General features: G+C 39.5%; 1 protein-coding gene across 2 annotated transcripts in view, besides 3 other annotated features; it reads right to left on the bottom strand.

Moving 5' to 3' along the window:
* GPC5 (glypican 5) overlaps window positions 1–24,182 on the bottom strand; it is a 1,468,617-nt gene that overhangs the window by 563,900 nt on the left and 880,535 nt on the right. The gene's annotated exons all lie outside the window — the stretch shown is intronic.
* Window positions 11,816–12,320: an enhancer, noted in NCBI's record as "H3K27ac-H3K4me1 hESC enhancer chr13:92943271-92943775 (GRCh37/hg19 assembly coordinates)". NCBI's record gives its function as "activates a minimal SCP1, AML or CMV promoter by ChIP-STARR-seq in primed H9 embryonic stem cells {active_cell/tissue: H9 hESC(primed)}" and the evidence as "EXISTENCE:reporter gene assay evidence [ECO:0000049][PMID:30033119]".
* Window positions 21,744–22,244: an enhancer, noted in NCBI's record as "H3K4me1 hESC enhancer chr13:92933347-92933847 (GRCh37/hg19 assembly coordinates)". NCBI's record gives its function as "activates a minimal SCP1, AML or CMV promoter by ChIP-STARR-seq in primed H9 embryonic stem cells {active_cell/tissue: H9 hESC(primed)}" and the evidence as "EXISTENCE:reporter gene assay evidence [ECO:0000049][PMID:30033119]".
* Window positions 22,245–22,745: an enhancer, noted in NCBI's record as "H3K4me1 hESC enhancer chr13:92932846-92933346 (GRCh37/hg19 assembly coordinates)". NCBI's record gives its function as "activates a minimal SCP1, AML or CMV promoter by ChIP-STARR-seq in naive H9 embryonic stem cells {active_cell/tissue: H9 hESC(naive)}" and the evidence as "EXISTENCE:reporter gene assay evidence [ECO:0000049][PMID:30033119]".

Below are 24,182 nucleotides of genomic sequence, written 5' to 3'. Positions count from 1 at the left end.
TTTTTGGTTATAGTAAACTTAATTTCTCTAACAAGTACAAAACTCAGGCACCCTTTAGACCACCACGGAGACTCTGGCATAGTGCTTTTTGCCTCTCTTGAGAGCAAGGATCATTGAACCTGAGCCCAACCACTGTTGCCCCTACCTGCAACTTCAAACTCACTTGTTCTATCCCATCCCTCTCCCAAGACCTATTCTGGTACCTGTACATTTCAAAGCCGTAAGAAAAGAACCATAGGGGGGAAAAAAACAATGAAAATGTTAGAGGAGAATAAGAGAAAATAGAGGAGTTAGTTACAAGGGAAGAAGATAAAAATTAATTCTAGATCAGAAGTGATAAAGTAATTTTGGATAATAGAAATAAAGGTTTTGAAAATGAAAACAAAAAGTATAAGAATGAGTATAGAGACAGTAAAAAGGTTCAGCCTTCTCTTCACTCCTTTGATCCTCCCATAAGAATAAAAGGAGGGACGGTTTTATTGCAAGAGAGAAAATTGAAAGAAACGAGATTGAGAACTTAAGGAGATGGAAGATGTCTTTGAAAAACTGCTGCAAATAACTCCCCAGGGAATCAAGATGTTTTGAATTAAAACAAGAGGGTTTAGTCCAGGTGATGTTACACAGCATAAATTGCAGTTAGCCCAAACTTATTATCATAAAATGCTGAGAATGATAATGTACTTGCTAACTATTCCTATACAACAAAATAGCAACAGATGTTATTATATCATGATAAGCTTAATAGACTTTTCTCATAAACTACATTTAATCATTTCTAAATAAAGGAATAGTCAAACAGAGAATTAATACAAAAAGTAGAATAAAAATAAATGCAGTACCCAGTTTAAAAAGCAATTTTTTTTATTCTCGGTCTGCTACATTCTTTCCTGTAAAGCTAACTACTGTAACAAAATGAAGTTTGCATTTGGGTTATATCCAAGGGCACTATTCAATTTCACAATTTCCACTGTAGTTATTGTACTGATATCATTTAATTCACGTGCATAGAATCACTTTAAAAAATCAATGTCAACAATCAGGGTCCTTTATTCTTTTCCCTATGGGTATTATCTTGCCTGTCCTCAAACAACATAATAGAGAAAAAAAAATCACTGTTAAGTATAATATTAATTAAAGTGCAAAAAACCAGAATCAACATTGCACTTGCAAGATCTGGAATGGGTGACTAAAGTATAGAATATTATATATTGTCCAGGGGCAAAAACTCATGTATATACATTACATGGTAGATCTACTTCTCTACTGCATTATATATATTCAACTGGCTTAAGAATAAGTTAAAATAAATGAATACATTTAAGCTATAGTCACACAAATAATGCAAATCACACAATCTTGGACTCATATAATTCTATAATTTATAAAATGTTTGAGAGCTGTGGTCGATATTAATTAATTAATTAATTTATTTATTTATTTTTGAGACAGTCTTGCTCTGTTGCCCAGGCTGGAGTGCAGTGGCACGATCTCGTTTCACTGCAACCTCTGCCTCCTGGGTTCAAGTGATTCTCCTGCCTCAGCCTCCCGAGTAGCTGGCACTACTTTTTTTCTTTTTCTGATTTTTTCTTTTACTGATTTTTTTCTTTTTCTTTTAGTACAGACAGGGTTTGAACATGTTGTCCAGGTGGTCTTGAACAACTGGCCTTATGTGATCCATAAGCCTTGGTCTCCCGAAGTGCTGGGATTACAGGTATAAGCCACTGTCACCTGACCTGTGATCATTTTGATAAGTGATTTTTACAACAACCCAGTGGAATTATGCTCACTTTAGAAGTAAATAAATGGAATCACGGACAGGTTAAGCAAAAAGTACTATGTCAGAAAGCTAATAAATGAAGAGTCGGTATTTTGCAAGAACCTAAGTTCTCTAACTTTCAGATAGTTTTCTTGCTACTGTATTTTTTAACTTTTTAGTGCTTATCTACACATCAGTATCATCTACAAGTTCAATGAGACCCTTAGAAATCTTCTTTCATGTCTTGGCACAGTTCTTTCTCCAATTTCCAATAATAGAGTCTCCAAAGATTCCATCTCTTCAAGAATGTTAGCCCACTATTCACTTCTGTCTGGAAGACCATTATATGATCTACCACTTTGAAAACATTATAAGTTAGGAATAAATACCCAACTTGATATCTATAAAAGAACCTATATTTTTAGTCTCAAGATTTCTTCTAGACAAAACAGAGGTTTCATTTGCAGATAATTTTATTTCATTGATGTTATGTTCTTTATTGTACTTTCTCCTTTTTTACATACTATGTGCTACTAGGCTACTCTGTTACTTCAATAGGAGAACAGCAAACTTTCTGTCACTACTGCTGTTGAAATTTCATTGACAATTCTATTATCCAGAAATCCAGTTTTTACCAGTTTTCAATGAAAAGGAACAGGATCTATATTGGGACCACATTACATTTGCTGATGCCTCAATTAGCTAATCTTATCTGACAGTAGCGAAAGTAAAGTTACTCACATTTTGCATCCCTACATCACTTCCTAAGGAAGATAAGTTGTTGGCTGTTAGACTAACTCAATATAAATTCAAACTAGAGATAGAAGAAAAGCTTACACAATATTGCTTAAGATAGGTACCTCAAGTATAATGAAAAGGCTGAATTTGGACATGTTTCATTTCCTCATTACACTGTCTTAAAAGATGTGAGACAGAAAGCCTTTAAATTAGTCCAGCACATTCTATTTATCTAATTCTCACCACTGCCTATTGATTTTATTTTCCAAGGCTTTTTGAATTAACTTCTCTTGACTGATCCATAAAGATATTTGAGTTGAATGATCAGACTCATGTGTTAGGTTAGCATAGTGCCTGAAATAGCAACATCAGTGTCATTGGAATTTGTTAGAAATGCAAATTTGGGGTCCACTCTAGGCCTACAGAACCAAATACTGATGATGGAGCCTAAAATCTATGCTTTAACACACTCTCCAGGTGATTCTACTGTAGCTAAAGTTTGAGAACCACTGCTTTAGTATTAAAAAGGTGGAATTGGAGAGAACCCAAACTCTCTAAAGAGAGTTTTGGAAAGAAAATCAGAGAAATTGGTGCAGTGTGTTTTGCAATGTAGGTCTTTAGGAACCAAGCTTCCCTGTGTATGTGTTTACCCTCACGACAACATTCCGAGACAATATCCATTGTTCTATAGTCTGCAAATGGAAAGTGTGCTTCTAGAAAACCTGTGTTCGGAAGAGAATAAGGAGTTTCAACTTTATGTGGTTTCTAACTAAAAGGAATATAGTTTCATTCCTTATGGAGAGATTAATCAATTATTTTCAGAAAGAGTTTGATTTAAAAAACAGTAACAATGGTTTTGGGGTGAGCAAAGTAAGGAAGGAACACTCCTTACAGAACATCCTCACAAACCTCCTTTTTCACAAGCCTCAGGCTGACAGCAATATAATTTGCATATTGTAAAAATGATACAATATAATCATACACTAACAACGTAGAAGCTTTTACTATGTATAAAATATTTAGATTTAAAAAACCACTTTCTACAATAAAACTCAAAGAAATCATTACTGATGACTTCTTAGTAAGTTAAATGTACACAATTTTAGATACATAGGATGACAACACATGGTTACAAGAATTTTTAAACTAGAATAGTAATCCTTTTACTTTTTGGGGGGCTTCAGGAATAATTATAGTTAAAGATCATCTGAAAAAAGATAAATCTTCCTATAAATTTTAACTGAATTATGTCATTGGTTTTTTACACTATCTACATAATTTTTTTGTAATGACAGAAATATGTTACTAGTATGATCATTCTCAGAAATTTCAGTATTTTCATTTACAAGTAGTTGTTAGTATTGGAAAGTGGCATTTATAAATCTGAATGTTAATTACAGTCATTATTCATAGTCACTTCTCTTTTGGAGGTCTGGATAACGACCCTAGTGTTTCACCTTTCTTTGAATAGATAATGAACCACCAAAGGCTTTCTCCTAAGTAAAGCAGCTGCCGTCAAGAGACTTTCATTATTCCAAAAATTGATTAAGTTGACATATGGTTTATCATGTGGAAGTTTGCTTCGAATTTCTGAACTATGTCTTTAAAAATCAATATCCATAAAGATCTTTGTTGTAAGTTGTGGGACAAAAGAAAAAAAAGGCTGTGAGGCCTTTTAAGAGTTGGAGTGACATACATCACGTATTTCAAACTTTTATTTCCATTTCCCTTAAAGGCACTCTTTACAATTCCATAAGTTATTTTAACACACTGAAAACCAAAATTTTATAAAATTTTCTCTAACTATGGATCTAATTAAGAGATTTCCAATTTCAGATTCACGGCTTATTTGTATTTCTATTCAAAAAAATTATTGCTAAAATTTGTTTTCATCAGCAAGTGTCCAAAGTAAAAGGATTGTTTCACCTTAATTATGATTTGCATTTATGGAAAAATGCTGTAAATAAAAATAATGATCTCATCCGCAGATCATGGCGGACGAGAGGCAGGACGAGATTACAGCTCTCACTGGGACAGACAGAGCAGCGTGTGGAGGCTTGCATCAGGAATTTTTGCTCCAGAATGACTACAGGAATAAATCAGGAAACCTGAGACGACCCACACACCCCCTAAAGGAAGCAGATTGCTCCTGCAGGACCCAGGAGATACCCCAAATACTGTGAGTACCCAAACTGTGGAAGCGGGAAAGGGAGATTGTCCTCTCCTGAACACACACCCCCAGGGGGAAAACTGAAGGCCCAGATTATGGGAGAAGATTTTTACTGTACCTCGAGCTGAGTTAATTTAGAGAGCCAAGCCAAACACAGGGGTAGAGGAAGCAGCGGGAAAATCCCTGCGGGCTTGCTGAGTCCCCTAGCAAGCTGTTTTTGCCTGGCCTCACAGGGGTCCTTCTAGAAGGTGGCCAGAGGCACTGGGAAAAGTCCACAGGGAGAAGGAAACCTCCGGTTGAATTTTGTAACAATTTGAACTGATTGAGAAGCCTCCTGAACAGAACTTGGGGGAGGGCATGAATCTGGCGTGCAGAATCCACAGTCAGGGGAAGGAGGAAAGCCGTATTTACTTTCGCAGCTGGGAGGCGGGGAGCCTAGGACAAGTTCTCAGCCCTGCTCCCCCACTGCCTGGAAACAGACTGGGTGCTGTGGGCGAGGGGGCACGGCAGGAGTGAGACTGGCCCTTCGGATTGTGTGGGAGCTGGGTGAGGCCTGTGAGTGCTGGCTTTTCCCCACTTCCCTGACAACCTGCATAACACAGTGGAGACAGTCATGATCCTCCTAGTGTGTCCGGAATTGGTGGGTTCTTGGTCTCACTGACTTCAAGAATGAAGCCGCGGACCCTCGTGGTGAGTGTTACAGCTCTTAAGGTGGCACATCTGGAGTTGTTCGTTCCTCCCAGTGGGCTCGTGTTCTCGCTGGGCTCAGGAGTGAAGCTGCAGATCTTCGCGGTGAGTGTTACAGCTCATAAAAGCAGCGTGGACCCAAAGAGTGAGCAGTAGCAAGAGCAAAAGAACAAAGCTTCCACAGTGTGGAAGGGGACCCGAGCGGGTTGCCAATGCTGGCTCGGGCAGCCTGCTTTTATTCTCTTATCTGGCCCCACCCACATCCTGCTGATTGGTAGAGCCGAGAGGCCTGTTTTGTCAGGGCGCTGATTGGTGCGTTTACAATCCCTGAGCTAGATACAAAGCTTCTCCAAGTCCCCATCAGATTAGTTAGATACAGAGTTTCGACACACAGGTTCTCCAAGGCCCCACCAGAGCAGCTAGATACAGAGTGTCGATTGGTGCATTCACAAACCTTGAGCTAAACACAGGGTGCTGATTGGTGTGTTTACAAACCTTGAGCTAGATACAGAGTGCCGATTGGTGTATTTACAATCCTTGAGCTAGACATAAAGGTTCTCCACGTCCTCACCAGAGCAGCTGGATACAGAGTGTCGATTGGTGCACTCACAAACCTTGAGCTAAACACAGGGTGCTGATTGGTGTGTTTACAAACCTTGAGCTAGATACAGAGTGCCGATTGGTATATTTACAATCCCTGAGCTAGATATAAAGGTTCTCCACGTCCTCACCAGAGCAGCTAGGTACAGAGTGTCGATTGGTGCACTCACAAACCTTGAGCTAAACACAGGGTGCTGATTGGTGTGTTTACAATCCCTGAGCTACATATAAAGACTCTCCACATCCCCACCAGACTCAGGAGCCCAGCTGGCTTCACCTAGTGGATCCCGCACAGGGGCTGCAGGTGGAGCTGCCTGCCAGTCCTGCGCCATGCGCTTGCATTCCTCAGCCCTTGGGTGGTCAATGGGACTGGGTGCCATGGAGCAGGGGGTGGTGCTCGTCGGGGAGGCTCGGGCCACACAGGAGCCCATGGAGGGGGTGGGAGGCTCAGGCATGGCGGGCTGCAGGTCCCGAGCCCTGCCCTGCGGGAAGGCAGCTAAGGCCCGGCGAGAAATCGAGCACAGCGCCAGTGGGCCGGCACTGCTGGGGGACCCAATACACCCTCCGCAGCCACTGGCCTGGGTGCTAAGTCCCTCATTGCCCGGGGCCAGCAGGGCTGGCTGGCTGCTCCAAGTGCGGGGCCCACCAAGCCCACGCCCACACGGAACTCCAGCTGGCCCGCAAGCGCCGCACGCAGCCCCGGTTCCCGCTCGCGCCTCTCCCTCCATACCTCCCTGCAAGCTGAGGGAGTGGGCTCCAGCCTTGGCCAGCCCAGAAAGGGGCTCCCACAGTGCAGTAGGGGGCTGAAGGGCTCCTCAAATGCCACCAAAGTGGGAGCCCAGGCAGGGGTGGTGCTGAGAGCAAGCGAGGGCTCTGAGGGCTGCCAGCATGCTGTTACCTCTCACTAGGAACATAACTCCATTGACCTGGGAATCTCACCCCCATCCCCCACAGCAGCAGCAGCAAGACCTGCCCAAGGACAGTCTGAGCTCAGACATGCTTAGCTCTACCCCCACCCAGTGGCCCTTCCCTACCCACCCTAGTAACTGAAGACTCTTGGGAGTTTAAGGGCCCCACCCAACGTTGTTCCTCCCCATACTACCACAGCTGATGCTCTCTGGAAAATGCCACCTCCTGGCGGGAGGCTAACCAGCACAAAAATAGTGCATTAAACCACCAAAGCTAAGAATCCTCACAGAGTTCATTTCTCCCCTCTACCTCTGCCACCAGAACAGGTGCTGGTATACATGGCTGAGAGACCTACAGACAGTAGGTCTTGTTCTATTTTGCACATCAAAATAGAATCTCTCTAAAGCATGAATCTCACAGGACATATAAAACAAAAATACAACTTAAAAAACAAAAAACCAAGGTACACAGGCAACAAATAGCATGATGAATGGAATGGTACCTCACATTTCATACTAGTGTTGAATGTAAACAGCCTAAACACTCCACTTAAAAGATACAGAATTGCAGAACGAGTAAGAATTCACCAGCCATCTGCTGCGTTCAAGAGACTTACCTAACGCATAAGGACTCACACAAACTTAAGGTAAAGGGGGTAGAAAAAGACATTTCAGGCAAATGGACACCAAAAATGAGCAGGAGTAGCTATTCTTATGTCAGACAAAACAGGCTTTAAAGCAACAGGAGTTAAAAGAGACAAAGAGGGACATTATATAATGATAAAAGGCCTTGTCCAACAGAAAACTGTCACAATTCTAAACATATATGCACCTAATACTGGAGCTCCCAAGATTATAAAACAATTACTAATAGATCTAAGAAATGAAATAGGCAGCAACATAATAATAGTGGGGGACTTCAATACTCCACTGACAGCACTAGACAGGTCATCAAGACAGAAAGTCAACAAAGAAACAATGGATTTAAACTATGCCCTGGAACAAATGGACCACATGGCACTTTCTTCAAGATAGACCTACGATAGGACACAAAATGAGCCTCAATAAATTTTAAAAAATTGAAATTATATCAAGCACTCTCACAGACTACAGTGGAAAAAAACTGGAAATCAACTCCAAAAGAAACCTTCAAAACCATGCAAATACATAGAAATTAAATAGCCTGTTCCTGAATGATCATTGGGTCAAAAATGAAATCAGGATAGAAATTTAAAAACTTTTCGAACTGAATGACAATAGTGATGCAACCTATCAAAACCTCTGGGACACAGCAAAGGTGGTGCTAAGAGGAAAGTTCATAGCCCTAAGTGCCTACATCGAAAAGTTTGGGCCGGGCATGGTGGCTCACACCTGTAATGTCAGCATTTTGGGAAGCCAAGGCAGGTATATCACCTGAGGACAGGAGTTTGAGACCAGCCTGGCCAACATGGTGAAACCTCATCTCTACTAAAAATACAAAAATTTAGCCAGGCATGATGGCAAGCACCTGTAATACCAGCTACTCGGGAGGCTGAGGCAGGAGAATCGCTTGAACCGGGAGGCAGAGGTTGTAGTGAGCCAAGATCATGCCATTGCACTACAGCCTGGGCAACAACAGCGAAACTCCATCTCGGAAAAAAAAAAAAAAAAAAGAAAAAAAAAAAAGAAAGAAACAGCACAAACAGATAATCTAAGGTCACACCTCAAGGAACTAGAGAAACAAGAACAAACCAAACCCAAACACAGCAGAAGAAAGGAAATAACCAAGATTAGAGCAGAATTAAGTGAAATTGAAAGCAACAAAACAGATAAATGAAACGAAATAGCTGGTTCTTTGAACAGGTAAATAAAACTGATAGGCCATTAACAAGATTAACCAAGAAAGAAAAAGAGAGAAAATCCAAAACAGCTCAATAAGAAATGAAATGGGAGATATTACAACTGACACCACAGAAATACAGAAGATCACTCAAGGCTACTATGAACACATTTACATGCATAAACTAGAAAACCTAGAAGAGATGGATAAATTCCTGGAAAGATACAACCCTCCTAGCTTAAATCAGGAAGAATTAGATACCCTGAACAGACCAATAACAAGCAGAGAGATTGAAATGGTAATTTAAAAATTATCAACAACAACAACAAAAAACTCCAGGACCAGACGGATTCACAGTTGAATTCTACCAGACATTCAAAGAAGAATTGGTACCACTCCTATTGACAGTATTCCACAAGATAAAGAAAGAGGGACCCCTCCCCAAATCATTCTATGAAGCCAGTATCACACTAATACCAAAACCAGGAAAGGACATAACCAAAAAAGAAAACTACAGACTGATATCCCTGATGAACACAGATGCTAAAATCCTTAACAAAATACTAGGTAACCAAATTCAACAACATATCAGAAAGACAATCCAACATGATCAAGTAGGTTTCATACCAGGGATGCAAGAATGGTTTAACACACACAAGTCAATAAATGTGATATACCACATAAACAGAATTAAAAACAAAAAAACATATGATCATCTCAATAGACTCAGAAAAAGATTTTGACAAAATCCATTATTGCTTTATGATTAAGACTTTCAGCAAAATCTGCATACAAGGGACATAGCTCAATATAATAAAAGCCATCCATGACAAACCCAGAGCCAACATAATATTGAATGGGAAAAAGTTGAAACCATTCCCTCTGATAACTGGAACAAGACAAGGATGCCCACTCTCACCACTCCTCTTCAACATAGTACTGGAAGTCCTAGCCAGAGCAGACAAGAGAAAGAAATACAGCGCATCCAAATTGGTAATGAGGAAGTCAAAGTGTCGCTGTTTGCTGACAATATGATCGTTTACCTAGAAAACCCTAAAGACTCCTCCAGAAAGCTCCTAGAACTGATAAAATAATTCAGCAAAGTCTCTGGATACAAAATTAATGCACACAAACAAGTATCTTTTCTTACACACTGACAGCGACCAAGCTTAGAATCAAATCAAGAACTCAACCTTTTACAATAGCTGCCAAAAAAAAAAAAAAAAAAAAAAAAAAAGAAACCAACCAACCAACCTTAGGAGTATACCTAACCAAAGAGGTGAAAGACCTCTACAAGGAAAACTTCAAAACACTGCTGAAAGAAATCACAGATGACACAAACAAATGGAAACACATCCTATGCTCATGGATGGGTAGAGTCAATATTGTGAAAATGACCATACTGCCAAAGCAATCTACAAATTCAACATAATTCCCATCAAAATACCACCAACATTCTTCAAGAATTAGAAAAAAAAATTCTAAAATTCATATGGAACTGAAGAAAAGCCCACATAGCCAAAGCAAAACTAAACAAAAATAACTAATCTGGAGGCATCACCATTACCTAATTTCAAACTATACTATAAAGCCATAGTCACCAAAACAGCATGGTACTGGTATAAAAATAGACACATAGACCAGTGAAACAGAACAGACCACCAAGAAATAAACCCAAACATTTACAGCCAACTGATCTTCAACAAAGAAAAGAAAAATATAAAGTGGGGAAAGGACACTCTTTTCAACAAATGGTGCTGGGATAATTGGCTAGCCACATGTAGGAGAATGAAACTGGATTCTCATCTCTCAACTCATACAAAAATCAACTCAAGATAGATTAAGCACTTAAATATAAGACCTGAAACTATAAAAATTCTAGAATATAACATTGGAAAAACTTCTAGACACTGGCTTAGGCGAAGTTTTCATGACCAAGAACCCAAAAGCAAATGCAACAAAAACAAAGATAAACTGCTGAGACTTAATTAAACTAAAGAGCTTTTGCGCGGCAAAAGAAATAGCCGAGTAAACAGACAACCCACAGAGTGGGAAAAAAACCTTCACAATCTATACATCTGACAAAGGACTAGTATCTAGAATCTACAATGAACTCAAATCAACAAGAAAAAAAAATCCCATCAAAAAGTGGGCTAAGGACATGAATAGACAATTCTCAAAAGATGATACACAAATGGCCAACAAATGTAAGAAAAAATGCGCAACATTACTAATGATCAGGGAAATGCAAATCAAAACCACAACACAATACCACCTTACTCCAGCAACAATGGCTGTAATCAAAAGAATAATAGATGGTGGCATGGATGAGGTGAACAGGGAACACTTCTACACTGCTGGTGGGAATGTACACTAGTACAATTGCTATGGGAAGCAGTGTGGAGATTCCTTAAAGAACTAAAAGTAGAGCTACCATTTGATCCAGCAATCCCACTACTGGGTATCTACTTAGAGGAAAAGAAGTCATTATATGAAAAAGATACTTGCATATGCATGTTTACAGCAGCACAATTTGCAATTGCAAAAATGTGGAACCAACCCAAATGCCCATCAATCAACAAGTGGATAAAGAAACTATGGTATATATGTGTCCGGAATTGGTGGGTTCTTGGTCTCACTGACTTCAAGAATGAAGCCGCGGACCCTTGTGGTGAGTGTTACAGTTCTTAAAGGCAGCGTGTCCGGAGTTTGTTCTTTCTGATGTTTGGATGTGTTCAGAGTTTCTTCCTCCTGGTGGGGTTGTGGTCTCACTGGCTCAAGAGTGAAGCTGCAGACCTTCGTGGTGAGTGTTACAGCTCTTAAGGCAGTGCGTCTGGAGTTGTTCGTTCCTCCCGGTGGGTTTGTGGTCTCGCTGGCTTCAGGAGTGAAGCTACAGACCTTCAGGGTGAGTGTTACAGCTCATAAAGGCAGTGTGGACCCAAAGAGGGAGTAGCAGCAAGATTTATTGCAAACAGCAAAAGAACAAAGCTTCGACATTGTGGAAGGGGACCCTAGCGGGTTGCCACTGCTGGCTCCAGCAGCCTGCTTTTAGTCTCTTATTTGGCCCCACCCACATCCTGCTGATTGGTCCATTTTACAGAGAGCCAGAGTGGTCTGTTTTGACAGGGTGCTGATTGGTGCGTTTACAATCCCTGAGCTAGACACAGAGGTTCTCCATGTCCCCACTAGATTAGCTAGATACAGTGTCGATTGGTGCATTCACAAACCCTGAGCTAGACACAGGGTGCTGATTGGTGTGTTTACAAATCTTGAGCTAGATACAGAGTGCCGATCGGTGTACTTACAATCCCTTAGCTAGACATAAAGGTTCTCCAAGTCCCCTCCAGACTCAGGAGCCCAGCTGGCTTCACCCAGTGGATCCTGCACAGGGCGGCAGGTGGAGCTGCCTGTCAGTCCCGTGCCATGCGCCCGCACTCCTCAGCCCTTGGGTGGTCGATGGGACTGGGCACAGTGGAGCAGGGGGTGGCGCTCCTCGGGGAGGCTCCGGCCGCACAGGAGCCCACGGAGCAGTGGGGAGGCTCAGGCATGGCGGGCTGCAGGTCCCAAGCCCTGCCTAGCGGAAAGGCAGCTAAGGCCCGGCGAGAAATTGAGCACAGCAGCTGCTGGCCCAGGTGCTAAACCCCTCACTACCTGGGGCCAGCGGGGCTGGCAGGCCCTTCCAAGAGTGGGGCCTGCCGAGCCCAGGCCCACCCAGAACTCACGCTGGCCCACAAGCACTGTGCGCAGCCCCGGTTTCCGCCAGCGCCTCTCCCTCCACACCTCCCCGCAAGCTAAGGGAGCCAGCTCCAGCCCTGGCCAACCCAAAAAGGGGCTCTCACAGTGCAGCAGCGGGCTGAAGGGCTCCTCAAGTGCCGCCAAAGTGGGAGCCCAGACAGAGGAGGCGCCGAGAGCGAGCGAGAGCTGTGAGGACTGCCAGCACGCTGTCACCTCTCATGTATATATGCAATGGAATACTACTCAGCCATAAAAAGGAATGAGTTAATGGCATGCACAGCTACCTGGATGAGATTGGAGACTCATTCTAAGTGAAGTAACTCAGGAATGGAAAACCAAACATCCTATGTTCTCCCTCATAAGTGGGAGCTAAGCTATGAAGATGCAATGACATAAGAATGACACAGTGGACTTTGGGGACTTGGGGAAAGGGTCAGAAGGGGGTGAGGAAAAAAAGACTACAAATAGGGTGCAGTGCATAGTGTTTGGGTGACGGGTGCGCCAAAATCTCAAAAATCACCACTAAAGAACTTACTGATGTAACCAAACACAACCTGTTCCTCAATAACCTATGGAAATTAAATAAATAAATAAAAATATAAGTCAAATCCACTTCCTCATACAATTTAGATGATATAGGATTAGATTCCTCACTAAGTGTCTATTGCTTAAATTTTTACAGCAATAGCCAAAAGTATGTTGCATAATCAATTACCAACTACGTATCTGTAGATTTGATTTTGTTGAAAGTCCCACATATATAAAGCAATTCAAAATTAAGAACATTACCTTAAAATTGTATAACAGTTTTTATTTTATAGTACTATCAGACACAAATCCCATAATTGCCAGTTGAATAAGTATTTAGTGTGGTTCAGTATCATAAACTGGATGTGTGCATAGTGTATATTTTTTAAAACCAATCTTCCTGTTCCAGCTAGAGTTTTCCCTCAACAATTTAAAAGGAATATAAGGTTTGGTATAACAAAATTTAAAAGAATTTTCTTTAGAATGGATATTTGTTAGGTCTCTTTGAAAAATACTTCAGGGAATTTTTAGGCAGATTATGAGCTTTTGAAAAATGTATATAAAATAAAAATATAAAAATATATAGAGAAGAGTGAATTTCACTGGTGTTTAAAATATTAGTACTATGGAAAAAGGAGGATGATACTTTGATATCAGCATATCTACTTCATTATTAAGTGGATGACATTCATATTGAGAAAAGTTAGTGGTGAAGCGTACTCATCCTCATAGATTTACTATGATTATTATTTGAGATAATCCATAAAAGGCAATTAACATAGTTCCTGATACATAGTTATTATTAACTAATATTAGAATTATTATTCATAAACATATTGCAGTATATATGGTAAAGAAATAAAATGTTTTCACAGAATTCATGTGGCCTTAATGTATATGTTATTTTAAAAGTTATTAAATGTTATTAAATAATTCATGATATTTAACATAAGTCATTCATAAGCCTTAATTCACGTTATTGAGAAAATAAATTAAATCTTTGATATACAGTGTTTATTAAATTCTATATTCTCTTTCTCCTTTTTAATGGAATTATCATTATTATAGAAAGAAATACTTAAGCAAGGGCTGTTGGCAGGGGTGGGGGTTGGGACTGGGGTGGAAGGTAGAGGCAGATGGATAAATACATTCTAAAATTAATGCCATTAAATTTTACACCTACCAAGGAGTCTTCCAATGTAATTACCAGTCTTTCATTCATTTTGGTATTTATATATTAATTTAGGCCAGATAGCTTCCAATTACTTCCTTGAATACTCCTACTCTTATTAGGGCTTTTTTTTTTTTGGTAATTTATTATTCTCCTGTTGACATAAATGGAAGAATTAAAAGCAAGAAAACATGGAGATCACTTTCAGTATTCACAGATGACATCTACAAGTTTTTCTACAAACCTATACAGAAAAATGGTAAAGTTGGTAGTAATGGTTCAACGATGTATCACATGCCTGGGTGGTAGAGAAATTTCCTCTAAATAACCTCTTGATACATTTGGAGGGGACTTTATGAAACCAGTTGATGGTCTTGGGAAACTGTTATCAAGGGCCAAATTTTAGGTAAGCATAAAGAACTAAAATAATAATCTAAGTGTGTTATATACTATTTTTTAAAACGACCATCACTTTTTGATAACAAAAGTGTTTTGGCAGAATGGTATCACAGAAGATGGCATGGTAGGAAGCATCAATAATCACTCCCTCCCCAAAACATCTATTCTGGTGGCAAGACTGTCAGAATCAACTACTGAGAAACTCTGAAGTAAAGTCAAACACTGGTATTGTCCAGGGGAGTGCCTGATTAAGATAGAGGCTGGTATTTTAGGAATTTTCTGTCAAGTCACTTCATTAGCTGACTATAGTCACAATAGAAGAGATTTCCGTGACCACATATGACAATGAATACAGTCCTTATGAAAACAGTTTGGACAAGTAACTGAACAAATGATAACTACAGCCCTCAGCAGGCAGTATCAACAATCCCTAGGAAAGAGAGAATCTGAATTCCAGAGTTACCACATTACAAAATCCAAAATGTTCAAATTCTAACAAAAATACTATAAAACAGAGAGAGAAACATTCATTCACAAAAATAAAAGAAATCAAGAGGAAACATCTCTGAGGATGTCCAGACATTGGTCATATTAGAAAAACAATTTCAGTTAATTGCCTTAAATATGATCAAATATATGAAGAAAATCATAGAAAGAAACTAAAGAAAATCAACAGAAACATGAATTAAAGAGAAAATATCAACAAACAGATAGGGATTTAAATAGAAATTATGAAGAGAGATTTAAATAGATATAATAGAGCTGAAAAGTGCGATAGATAAAAAAATTCCTGGAGATTTTAGCAGATGTAAGGAAGAATCTGCTATTGAAGATAGACTGGACAACTGGAATTGTCCAGTGTGAAAATAAAAAAGAATGAAGGAAAATGAACAGAGCCCACGAGATGTATGGGACACCATCAAGCATACCAGTGTATGTATTATGGGACTCCCTGAAGAAGAGAAAAAGGAGCTGAAAAAAATACTTAAAGAAATACAGGCTAACAAGTTTCCAAATTTGATGGAAGACATGAACCAACACATCAAAGAAGCTCAACAAGCTACAAGCAGGATCTTACACTGAGACACATTATAACCAAACTTTCCAAAGCCAAATACAAAAAGAAAACCTAGAAAGCAGCAAGAAAAGCAACTTGTCATGTGTAAGGACCTTTCAATATAATTGACAGCCAGTGTCTTACCAGGAACTCTGAAAGCTGTAGGACCCTGAGATGATATATTTAAGCTACTGATTCATCAAGATAAAACAATTAGAAATATATATGCAGCAAATAAAAGAGCTTCAATATGTATGAGGCACACTTTGACATAATTAAAGAAAAAAATACACAATTCTACAATAATAATTGGAGACTTCAAACCCTACTTTTACTAATGAATAGAACAAAGAGCATTAAGACAATAGAAGGCTTGAAAAACCTTGTAAGCAAAGTAGACCTTACAGACACTTAAAGAACACGCCACAGAACAACCACAAAATGAACATTATTCTCCAGTGTACAAGGAACATTCTCTGGAATAGACCATATGTTTATCCATAAAACAACTTTCAAGATATGTTTAAAGACAGAAACTATACAAAGTACATTCTCTGAACACTATGGACTGAAGCAAAACTGTAAAAAACTAGAAAAGTCAAAAACATATGAAAATTAAGAAAACACACTTAAACAGTTAATGAGTCTCCATTAGTTTGTTAGGCTGCCATAAAAAATTACTATAGACTTGGTGGATTAAGCAACAAAAAATTATCTTCTCTGTAGATCTGGAGGCTACAAGTCCAAGATAAAGGTGACAACATGGTTGGTTTCTTCTGAGGGCCTCTAGCGTTGGCTTGCATATGGCCATCTTGTACCTACACATGGTTTTTCTTCCGTGTATTTTCATGCCATATTTTTTTCTTTTTTACTAGTGATATTTTAATTGTATTTTAAGTTCTAGGGTACATGTGCACAATGTGCAGGTTTGTTACATATGTATACATGTGCCATGTTGGTGTGCTGCACCCATTAACTCATCATTTACATTAGGTATCTCTCCTACTGCTATCCCTCCCCCCTCCCCCAACCCCACAACAGGCCCCAGTGTGTGATGTTCCCCTTCCTGTGTCCAAGTGTTCTCATTGTTCAATTCCCACCTATAAGTGAGAACATGCGGTATTTGGTTTTTTGTCCTTGAGATAGTTTGCTGAGAATAATGGTATCCAGCTTCATCCATGTCCCTACAAAGGATATGAACTCATTCTTTTTGATGGCTGTATAGTATTCCATGGTGTATATGTGCCACATTTTCTTAATCCAGTCTATCATTGATGGACATTTGGGTTGGTTCCAAGTCTTTGCTATTGTGAATAGTGCCGAAATAAACATACATGGGCATGTGTCTTTATAGCAGCATGATTTGTAATCCTTTGGGTATATACCCGTAATGGGATGGCTGGGTCAAATGGTATTTCTAGTTCTAGATCCTTGAGGAGTCGCCACACTGTCTTCCACAATGGTTGAACTAGTTTACAATCCCACCAACAGTGTAAAAGTGTTCCTATTTCTCCACATCTTCTCCAGCACCTGCTGTTTCCTGACTTTTTAATGATCACCATTCTAACTGGTGTGAGATGGTATCTCATTGTGGTTTTGATTTGCATTTCTCTGATGGCCAGTGATGATGAGCATTTTTTCACGTGTCTGTTGGCTGCATAAAGGTCTTCTTTTGAGAAGTGTCTCTTCATATCCTTCGCCCACTTGTTGGGGTTGCTTTTTTCTTGTAAATTTCTTTGAGTTCTTTGTAGATTCTGGATATTAGCCCTTTGTCAGATGAGTAGATAGCAAAAATTTTCTCCCATTCTGTAGGTTGCCTGTTCACTCTGATGGTAGGTTTTTTTTTGCTGTGCAGAAGCTCTTTAGTTTAATTAGATCCCATTTGTCAATTTTAGCTTTTGTTGCCATTGCTTTTAGTGTTTCAACATGAAGTCCTTGCCCATGCCTATGTCCTGAATGGTGTTGCCTAGGTTTTCTTCTAGGGTTTTTATGGTTTTAGGTCTAACATTTAAGTCTTTAATCCATCTTGAATTAATTTTTGTATAAGGTGTAAGGAAGGGAACCAGTTTCAGCTTTCCACATATGGCTAGCCAGTTTTCCCAGCACCATTTATTAAATAGGGAATCCTTTCCCCATTGCTTGTTTTTGTCAGGTTTGACAAAGATCAGATGGTTGTAGATGTGTGGTATTATTTCTGAGGGCTCTGTTCTGTTCCATTGGTCTATATCTCTGTTGTGGTACCACTACCATGCTGTTTTGGTTACTGTAGCATTGTAGTATAGTTTGAAGTCAGGTAGTGTGATGCCTCCAGCTTTGTTCTTTTGGCTTAGGATTGAGTTGGCAATGTGGGCTCTTTTTTGGTTCCATATGAACTTTAAAGTAGTTTTTTCCAATTCTGTGAAGACAGTCATTGGTAGCTTGATGGGGATGGCATTGAATCTATAAATTACCTTGGGCAGTATGGCCATTTTCATGTTATTGATTCTTCCTATCCATGAGCATGGAATGTTCTTCCATTTCTTTGTGTCTTCTTTTATTTCATTGAACAGTGGTTTGTAGTCCTCCTTGAATAGGTCCTTCACGTCCCTTGTAAGTTGGATTCCTAGGTATTTTATTCTCTTTGAAGCAATTGTGAATGGGAGTTCACTCATGATTTGGCTCTGTTTGTCTGTTATTAGTGTATAAGAATGCTTGTGATTTTTGCACATTGATTTTGTATCCTGAGACTTTGCTGAAGTTGCTTATCAGTGTAAAGAGATTTTGGGCTGAGACGATGGGGTTATCTAGATATACAATCATGTCATCTGCAAACAGGGACAATTTGACTTCCTCTTTTCCTAATTGAATACCCTTTATTTATTTCTCCTGCCTGATTACCCTGGCCAGAACTTCCAACACTACGTTGAATAGGCGTGGTGAGAGAGGGCATCCCTGTCTTGTGCCGGGTTTCAAAGGGAATGCTTCCAGTTTTTGCCCATTCAGTATGATATTGATTGTGAGTTTGTCATAAATAGCTCTTATTATTTTGAGATACTTCTCATCAACACCTAATTTGTTCAGAGTTTTTAGCATGAAGGGCTGTTGAATTTTGTCAGAGGCGTTTTCTGCATCTATTGAGATAATCATGTGTTTTTTGTCTTTGGTTCTGTTTATATGCTGGTTTATGTTTATTGATTTGTGTATGTTGAACCAGCCTTGCATCCCAGGGATGAAGCCCACTTGATCATGGTGGATAAGCTTTTTGACGTGCTGCTGGATTTGGTTTGTCAGCATTTTATTGAGGATTTTTGCATTGATGTTCATCAGGGATATCGGTCTAAAATTCTCTTTTTTTTGTTATGCCTCTGTCAGGCTTTGGTATCAGGATGATGCTGGCCTCATAAAATGAGTTAGGGAAGATTCCCTCTTTTTCTAATGATTGGAATAGTTTCAGAAGGAATGGAACCAGCTCCTCCTTGTACCTCTAGTAGAACTCGGCTCTGAATCCGTCTGGTCCTGGACTTTTTTTTGGTTGGTAGGCTATTAATTATTGACTCAATTTCAGAGCCTGTTATTGGTCTATTCAGGGATTCAACTTCTTCCTGGTTTAGTCTTGGAAGGGTGTATGTGTCCAAGAATTTGTCCATTTCTTCTAGATTTTCTAGTTTATTTGCATAGAGGTGTTTCATAGTATTCTCTGATGGTAGTTTGTATTTCTGTGGGATCAGTGGTGATATCCCCTTTATCATTTTTTATTGTGTCTATTTGATTCTTCTTTTCTTCTTTATTAGTCTTGCTAGCGGTCTATCAATTTTGTTGATCTTTTCAAAAAACCAGATCCTGGATTCATTGATTTTTTGAAGGGTTTTTTGTGTCTCTATCTCCTTCAGTTCTGCTCTGATCTTAGTTATTTCTTGCCTTCTGCTAGCTTTTGAATGTGTTTGCTCTTGCTTCTCTAGTTCTTTTAATGTGATGTTAGGGTGTCAATTTTAGATCTCTCCTGCTTTCTCTTGTGGGCATTTAGTGCTAAAAATTTCCCTCTACACACTGCTTTAAATGTGTCCCACAGATTCTGGTATGTTGTGTCTTTGTTCTCATTGGTTTCAAAGAACATCTTTATTTCTGCCTTCATTTTGTTATGTACCCAGTAGTCATTCAGGAGCAGGTTGTTCAGTTTCCATGTAGTTGAGCGGTTTTGAGGGAGTTTCTTAATCCTGAGTTCTAGTCTGATTGCACTGTGGTCTGAGAGACAGTTTGTTATAATTTCTGTTCTTTTACATTTGCTGAGGAGTGCTTTACTTCCAACTATGTGGTCAATTTTGGAATAAGTGTGATGTGGTGCTGAGAAGAACGTATATTCTGTTGATTTGGGGTGGAGAGTTCTGAAGATGTCTATTAGGTCCCCTTGGTGCAGAGCTGAGTTTAATTCCTGGATATCTTTGTTAACTTTCTGTCTTGTTGATCTGTCTCATGTTGACAGTGGGGTGTTAAAGTCTCACATTATTATTGTGTGGGAGTCTAAGTCTCTTTGTAGGTCTCTAAGGACTTGCTTTATGAATCTGGTTACTCCTGTATTGGGTGCATATATATTTAGGATATTTAGCTCTTCTTATTGAATTGATCCCTTTACCATTATGTAATGGCCTTCATTGTCTCTTTTGACCTTTATTGGTTTAAAGTCTGTTTTATCAGAGACCAGGATTGCAACCACTGCATTTTGGTTTTCCATTTGCTTGGTAGATCTTCCTCCATCCCTTTATTTTGAGCCTATGTGTGTCTCTGCATGTGAGATGGGTCTCCTGAATACAGCACACTGATGGGTCTTGACTCTTTTATCCAATTAGCCAGTCTGTGTCTTTTAATTGGAGCATTTAGCCCATTTACATTTGAGGTTAATATTGTTATGTGTGAATTTGATCCTGTCATTATGATGTTAGCTGGTTATTTTGCTCACTAGTTGATGTAGTTTTTTCCTAGCATCGATGGTCTTTACAATTTGGCATGTTATTGCAGTGGCCGGTATCTTTTGTTCCTTTCCATGTTTAGTGTTTCCTTCCTGAACTCTTGTAGGGCAGGCCTGGTGGTGACAAAATCTCTCAGCATTTGCTTGTCTGTAAAGCATTTTATTTCTCCTTCACTTATGAAGCTTAGTTTGGCTGGATATGAAATTCTGGGTTGAAAATTCTTTAAGAATGTTGAATATTGGCCCCCCTTCTCTTCTGGCTTGTAGATTTTCTGCCAAAAGATCCGCTGTTAGTCTGTTGAGGTTCCCTTTGTGGGTAATCCGACCTTTCTCTCTTGCTGCCCTTAACATTTTTTCCTTCATTTCAACTTTGGTGAATCTGACAATTATGTGTCTTGGAGTTGCTCTTCTCAAGGAGTATCTTTGTGGCGTTCTCCGTATTTCCTGAATTTGAATGTTGGCCTGCCTTGCTAGGTTGGGGAAGTTCTCCTGAATAATATCCTGCAGAGTGTTTTCCAACTTGGTTCCATTCTCCCCGTCACTTTCAGGGACACCAATCAGATGTAGATTTGGTCTTTTCACATAGTCCCATATTTCTTGGAGGCTTTGTTCATTTCTTTTTACTCTTTTTTCTCTAAACTTCTCTTCTCACTTCATTTCATTCATTTGATCTTCAATTACTGATACCCTTTCTTCCAGTTGATCGAATCGGCTACTGAAGCTTGTGCATTCGTCACATAGTTCTCGTGCCATGGTTTTCAGCTCCATCAGGTCATTTAAGGACTTCTCTGCACTCGTTATTCTGGTTAGCCATTTGTCTAATCTTTTTTCAAGGTTTTTAGCTTCTTTGTGTTGGGATTGAACTTCCTCCTTTAGCTCAGAGAAGTTTGATCGTCTGAAGCCTTCTTCTCTCAACCTGTCAAAGTCATTCTCCATACAGCTTTGTTACATTGCTGGCAAGGAGCTGCATTCCTTTGGAGGAGAAGAGGTGGTCTGATTTTTAGAATTTTCAGCTTTTCTGCTCTGTTTTCTCCCCATCTTTGCGGTTTTATCTACCTTTGGTCGTTGCTGATGTTGATGTACAGATGGGGTTTTGGTGTGGATGTCCTTTCTGTTGGTTAGTTTTCCTTCTAACAGTCAGGACCCTCAGCTGCAGGTCTGTTGGAGTTTGCTGGAGGTCCACTCCAGACCCTGTTTGCCTGGGTATCAGCAGCAGAGGTGGCAGAACAGCGAATATTGCTGAAGAGCAAATGCTGCTGCCTGATCTTTCCTCTGCAAGCTTCGTCTCAGAGGGGTACCCAGCCGTGTGAGGTGTCAGTCTCCCCCTACTGGGGTGTACCTCCCAGTTAGGCTACTCGGTGGTCAGGGACCCACTTGAGGAGGCAGTCTGTCTGTTCTCAGATCTCAAACTCTGTGCTGGGAGAACCACTACTCTCTTCAAAGCTGTCAGACAGGGACATTTACTTCTGCAGAGGTTTCTGTTGCCTTTTGTTCTGCTATGCCCTGCCCCCAGAGGTGGAGTCTACAGAGGCAGGCAAGCCTCCTTGAGCTGTGGTGGGCTCCACCCAGTTCGAGCTTCCTGGCTGCTCTGTTTACCTACTGAAGCCTCAGCAATGGCAGGCTCCCCTACCCCAGCCTTGCTGACGCCTTGTAGTTCCATCTCAGACTGCCTTACTAGCAATGAGCGAGGCTCCGTGGGCGTGGGACCCTCTGAGCCAGGCACGGGATATTATCTCCCAGTGTGCCATTTGCTAAGACCATTGGAAAAGCGCAGTATTAGTGTGGGAGTGACCCAATTTTCCAGGTGCTGTCTGTCACCGCCTCCCTTGACTGGGAAAGGGAATTCCCTGACCCCTCGCACTTCCTGGGTGAGGCGATGCCTTGCCCTGCTTTGGCTTAGGCTTGCTGGGCTGCACCCATTGTCCTGCCCCCACTGTCCGACAAGCCCCAGTGAGATGAACCCGGTACCTCAGTTGGAAATGCAGAAATTACCCGTCTTCTGTGTCACTCACACTGGGAGCTATAGACTGGAGCTGTTCCTATTAGGCCATCTTGCAACCGCCCCCCGCACCCCGTCATATTTTCTTATAAGAATACTAGTCATATTAAAATAGGGACCAACCATATGATTTAATTTTACCTTAACTGCCCCTTTAAAGACTCAGTCTTCTAATACAGTCATACTCTGAGGTACTGGAAGTTAGGAATTCAGCAAATAAATTTTTAGTTCATAATAAGATCAAAGAACAAATAAATCATTTGAGATAAATAAAAATGGAAACAACATAACGAAACTTATGGGATATAGCAAAAGTAGTGCTTGAAGGGAAACTTACAGCTATAAATGCCTACATTTAAAAAGACAGGATCCGATATTGACAACATAACTTAATGCTTTAGCAAACTAGAAAAAGCAAAGCAAACTAAACCTAAATCCAGCAAAAGGAAGGAACTAATAGAGTTTAGAGAAGAGATAAATCAAAGATAAAGTAGAAAAATAGAGGCTACATACAAAACCAAAGTTGTTTCTTTGAAAAGATCAGCAAAATTGATAAATCCTTATACTAAGAAGACAGAAGACAAAAACAACTAAAATCAGAAATAGAACTACGAATATTATAGCAATTACAAGAATTGCAAGAGAATAATTATATGACAACAAATTAGATAATCTAGACAAATTGGAAAATTTTCTAGAAATACACATTATCAAATGTAGAAAAAAATTATCTCAAGAGAAATATCAGTAGAAAAACTGAATAATCAAAAACCTACCATCAACAAGAAGGCCACAATTAGATAAACTTCTCTGGTGAATTCTATCAAATATTTAAAGAATTAACACAAATTCTACCCAAACTTCTGCCAAAAATAAAAATAAAATAGAGGAAATACTTCTCAACACGTTCTATGAAGCCAGAATTCGACCGATATCAAAATCAGATACCATAAGAAAACTACAGAAAAATATTTCTTATGAATGTAGATGCAAAAATGCTCAACAAAATACTTGAAAACCAAATAAGCATACTGAATAAATTATATACCATAGCAAAGTGGAATTTATTCTAGAAATGCAAGCTTATTTCAATGTAAGAAAAGTAATCAATGTAACACAATGTATTTTTAGAACCAAGGAAAACTCATGACCATCTCAGCAGATACAAATAAAGCAATAAGATAAAATTCAATACCCTTTCATAATAATAATAATAAAAAAATACCCAGCCTACTCAATGGTGAAGGACTGAAAGCTTTGCTTTTAGGGTCAGGAACAAGACAAAAGACAGAGATTCATCACACTATTTAACATTGTACTTAAAGTCTTATCAGGAGTAATAAAATAAGAAAAAGAAATAACAGACATATTAGAAAAGAAGTAAAAACTATCTCTATTGCAGATGACATGATTTTCTATATTAAACAATATTTAACAAATCCAGTAATTTTTCAGTGCACAAGATGAATATAAAAAACTTAATTGTGTTTATATACAATGGCAATGAACAATCAAACACAGAAATTAAGAAAATTCCATTTATGATAGCATCCAAAGCGGAAACAATACATAGGAAGAAGTAAGATGAGGAAGTGCAAGGTATGCACACTAAGAATTACAAAACATTACTGAAAGAAATTAAAGAAGGCCCAAATAAATGGAAATATAGCCTG

This window comes from Homo sapiens, chromosome 13 (assembly GCF_000001405.40).
Source record: "Homo sapiens chromosome 13, GRCh38.p14 Primary Assembly".
Taxonomy (NCBI): Eukaryota; Metazoa; Chordata; class Mammalia; order Primates; family Hominidae; genus Homo; species Homo sapiens.
This window is presented reverse-complemented; position numbering and strand designations above follow the sequence as displayed.